Raw genomic sequence first — 5,274 nt, 5'->3', positions numbered from 1 at the left:
TCTTTGATATACTCATTTCCTTTCTTTTGGGTATATACCCAGCAGTGGGAATTGCTGGATAATATGGTAGTTCCATTTTTAGTTTTTTGAGGAACCTTTATACTGTTCCCTATAGTGGCTACACTAATTTACAATTCCACCAACAGTGTACAAGGGTTCCCTTTTCTCCTCATCCTCATCAGCATTTGTTATTGCTTGTCTTTTGGATATACGTCATTTTATCGAGTGTGAGATATTTTATTTTAGTTTTGATTTGTGTTTCTCTGATGATCACTGACATTGAGCGTCTTTTCATACATCTGTATGCCATATGTTTGTCTTCTTTTAAGAAATACCTACTCAAATCTTTTGCCCGTTTTTAACTAAATTAGTAGATTTTTCTCTATTGAGTTGTTCTGGCTCCTCATATATTCTGAGTATTAAACTGTCTTCAGATGGGTTGTTTGCAAATATTTTCTCCCATTCTGTGGGTCGTCTCTTCACTTTTTCATTGTTTCTTTTTCTATGCAGAAGCATTTTAACTCGATGTGATCCCATCCCATCTGTCCATTTTTGCTTTTGTTGCCTGTGCTTTGGGGTATTACTCAAGAATTTTTTGCCAAGACCCATATCTGGAGAGTTTCCTCAATGTTTTCTCTTAGTAGTTTCATAGTTCGAGGTCTTAGATTTATGTCTACAATCCATTTTTATCTGATTTTTGTATAAAGCAATAGAAAGGGGTCTAGTTTTATCCCTATGTATACAGATATCCAGTTTTCATAGCACCATTTATTGAAGAGAGGGTCCTTTCCCCAGTGTATGTTCTTGGCAACTTTGCTAAAAATTAGTTCCCTATAGATGTATTAATTTATTACTGAGTTCTCAAATCTATTTCATTGGTCTGTGTGTCTGATAAATGTCTTCTTTTGAGACGTGTCTGTTCATATCCTTTGCCCACTTTTTCACGGGGTTGTTTGTTTTTTTCTTGTAAATTTATTTAAGTTCTTTGTAGATTGTGGATATTAGCCCTTTGTCAGATGGGTAGATTGAACAAATTTCTCCCATTCTGTAGGTTGCCTGTTCACTCTGATGGTAGTTTCTTTTGCTGTGCAGAAGCTGTTTAGTTTAATTAGATTCCATTTGTCAATTTTGGCTTTTGTTGCCATTGCTTTTGGTGTTCTAGGTTTTCTGCTGGGGTTTTTATGGTTTTAGGTCTAACACTTAAGTCTTTAATCCATCTTGAATTAATTTTTGTATAAGGTGTAAGGAAGGGATCCAGTTTCAGCTCTCTACATATGGCTAGCCAGTTTTCCCAGCACCATTTATTAAATAGGGAATCCTTTCCCCATTGCTTGTTTTTCTCAGGTTTGTCAAAGTCAAAGATCAGATGGTTGTAAATGTGTGGTATTATTTCTGAGGGCTCTGTTCTGTTGCATTGGTCTATATATCTGTTTTGATACCAGTACCATGCTGTTTTGGTTACTGTAGCCTTGTAGTATAGTTTGAAGTCAGGTAGCATGGTGCCTCCAGCTTTGTTCTTTTGGCTTAGGATTGTCTTGGCAATGTGGGCTCTTTTTTGGTTCCATATGAACTTTAAAGTAGTTTTTTCCAATTCTGTGAAGAAAGTCATTTGTACCCTGATGGGGATAGCATTGAATCTATAAATTACTTTTCAGGATACTGATTCTTCCTATCCATGAGCATGAAATGTTCTTCCATTTTTTTGTGTCCTCTTTTATTTCGTTGAGCAGTGGTTTGTAGTTCTCCTTGAAGAGGTCCTTCACATCCCTTGTAAATTGGATTCCTAGGTATTTTATTCTCTTTGTAGCAATTGTGAATGGGAGCTCACTGATGATTTAGCTCTCTGTCTGTCTGTTAATGGTGTACAGGAATGCTTGTGATTTTTGCACATTGATTTTGTATCCTGAGACTTCGCTGAGTTTGCTTATCAGCTTAAGGAGATTTTGGGCTGAGACAATGGAGTTTTTCTAAATATACAATTATGTCATCTGCAAACAGGGACAATTTGACTTCCTCATTTCCTAATTGAATAACCTTTATTTCTTTCTCTTGCCTGATTGTCCTGGTCAGGACATCCAACACTATGTTGAATAGGAGTGGTGAGAGAGGGCATCCTTGTCTTGTGCCAGTTTTCAAAGGAATGCTTCCAGTTTTTGCCCATTCAGTATTATATTGGCTGTGGGTTTGTCATAAATAGTTCTTATTATTTTGAGATACGTTCCATCAATACTTAGTTTATTGAGAGTTTTTAGCATGAAGTGCTGTTGAATTTTGTCAAAGACCTTTTCTGCATCTATTGAGATAATCGTGTGGTTTTTGTCTTTGGTTCTGTTTATGTGATGGATTACGTTTATTGATTTGCATATGTTGAACCAGACTTGCATCCCAGGGATGAAGCCAACTTGATCCTGGTGGATAAGCTTTTTGATGTGCTGCTGGATTCAGTTTACCAGTATTTTATTGAGGATTTTTGCATTGATATTCATCAGGGATGTTGGTCTAAAATTCTCTTTTTTTGTTGTGTCTCTGTCAGGCTTTGGTATCAGGATGATGCTGGCCTCATAAAATGAGTTAGGGAGGATTCCCTCTTTTTCTATTGATTGGAATAGTTTCAGAAGGAATAGTACCAGCTCCTCTTTGTACCTCTGGTAGAATTCGGCTGTGAATCTGTCTGGTCCTGAACTTTTTTTGGTTGGTAGAATATTAATTCTATGCTGCCAACAGACACATGAAAAAATGCTCATTATCGCTCGTCATCAGAGAAATGCAAATCAAAACCACAATGCCATACCATCTCACGCCAGTTAGAATGGTGATCATTAAAAAGTCAGGAAACAACAGGTGCTGGAGAGGATGTGGAGAAATAAGAACACTTTTACACTGTTGGTGGGAGTTTAAATTAGTTCAACCATTGTGGAAGACAGTGTGGCAATTCCTCAAGGATCTAGAACTAGAAGTAACATTTGACCCAGCCATCCCATTACTGGGTATATACCCAAATGATTATAAATCCTGCTACTATAAAGACACATGCACACGTATGTTTATTGCGGCACTATTCACAATAGCAAAGACTTGGAACCAACCGAAATATCCATCAGCGATAGACTGGATTAAGAAAATGTGGCACATAAACACCTTGGAATACTATGCAGCCATAAAAAAGGATGACTTCATATTCTTTGCAGGGACATGGATGAAGCTGGAAACCATCATTCTCAGCAAACTGTCACAAGGACAGAAACCAAACACCACATGTTCTCACTCATAGGTGGGAATTGAACAATGAGATCACTTGGATACAGGGCGGGGAACATCACACACCAGGGCCTGTCAGGGGGTGCGGTCCTGGGAGAGGGATAGCATTAGGAGAAATACCTAAAATGTCAATGATGAGTTGATGGGTGCATCAAACCAACACGGCACATGCATACCTACGTATCAAACCTGCACGTTGTGCACACGTACCCTAGAACTTAAAGTATAATAATAATAATAAAAACATGTAGTCTGCAGGCATAAAAAAAGAAAAAAAATTATTTCTAGTGGAATCAAAATCCTATAGAAATGTGATACTAACCATTATCAATTTTAAAAATACATGGCTAAGCTCTCATTTAACAGAAATATTAAATCATTTCCTTTTTCTCCTTGAACTAATATCTCTGTTCCACTTTGCAACAACATTTTATTCTTACAAAAGCCTTCTAATAATCACTTTATCATGCTTTGCTGATACAATTAGGTGTATATATATAGAGAAATATTAACTTATTAAAATATATTATTAAATTCTAAGTATTAACAAATGTCTTCAGCATAGACATTACAATTATCATTAGTTAACAACTGGCAGTCAAAATAAAATATACATTATAAATATTAATAAATACTAAAGTCAAATTATATTAAAATTTATTTTTGTTAAAATGAATGGGGCACCTCCCAATTAGTTAATATCTCTGCTTTTTGATATATTTATTTAATATATTTTTAAATTTGTTTTATATATTTATTTATATATTTAACATGTGTTTATGTATATATTTATTTTTTAGAGTTAATACTGTTTTATTTTGTTTATTTTTTCAACTTTTATTTTAGATTCAGTGGGCACATGTGTGTGATGCTAAGGTTTGGGGTATGATGAATCCATCACCCAGGTAGTGAGCTTAGTATCCAATAGGTAGTTTTTTTCAACCCCTGCTACCTTCCCTCCTTCCCTCTTCTTGTATTATCCAGTGTCTATTGTTCCCATCTTTATGTCCATGTGTACCCAAAGTTTAGCTCCCACTTATAAGTCAGAACATGCGTTATATGGTTTTCTCTTTCTGCATTCATTTGCTTAGGATAATGGCCTCCTGCTGCATTGATATTGCTGCAAAGGATCTGATTTTGTTCTTTCTTATGGCTGTGTAGTATTCTACTGTATATATGTTCCACATTTTCTTTATCCTATCCACCATTGATAGCCACCTAGTTTGATTCCATGTACTTGCTATTGTGAATAGTGCTGTGAGGAACATATGAGTACCTGTGTATTTTTGGTAGAATTATTTATTTTTCTTTGGGTATATATCTAGTAATGGGATATTAGTAATCTAGCAATACCTGTGGAATTATAGTTCTAATTTTTAGTTCTTTGGGAAATCACCAAACTGCTTTCCACAGTGGCTGAACTAATTTACATTCTCACCAACAGTGTATGACTTGCTTTTTCTCCACAACCTTGCCAACATCTATTATGTTTTGAATGTTTGTTTTTAAATACTACTTTGTGCAAATTGAGACAGAATTCAGCATCCAACTTATTCACTTTCACATTTATGGATGCAAATTCTGAGAAATCTAATGCATATTATTCAGTAGATAGAAATGTCAGAAATATATTACCAATGTCACTATATTGTTGGAACTTCTACAAGGAAATGTGTGTAAAATTATACATAACAATCTATAATTAAAGATATTTTAGGCCTCTCCATCAATTGACAATGCTAACATCCTCCTTTAATCTCATAGAATGCAAAGCATGGCAAACCTTACTTGCAGACACATTTGCTTCTCATTTAAGTCCCTCACTTTCATTATTTCAAGAAAGTCCACCAAAGAGTTTTACCGAGACTTGTCAAAAAACCATTAATTAACTCCTCTCAGTAGTTCACTAAAGGACACATTAGTTTTTAACTAAAAAAAAAAAATATGAATCTAGGGTAAGAAAAAAATATTTTTGGAATTTTTGTATTATTACTTTCCCCATGGGTTGTGAATATC

The sequence above is a fragment of the Homo sapiens genome, chromosome 4 (assembly GCF_000001405.40).
Source record: "Homo sapiens chromosome 4, GRCh38.p14 Primary Assembly".
NCBI classification, from domain to species: domain Eukaryota; kingdom Metazoa; phylum Chordata; class Mammalia; order Primates; family Hominidae; genus Homo; species Homo sapiens.
The sequence above is the reverse complement of the archived record's forward strand: the minus strand, read 5'-3'. Positions refer to the sequence as shown.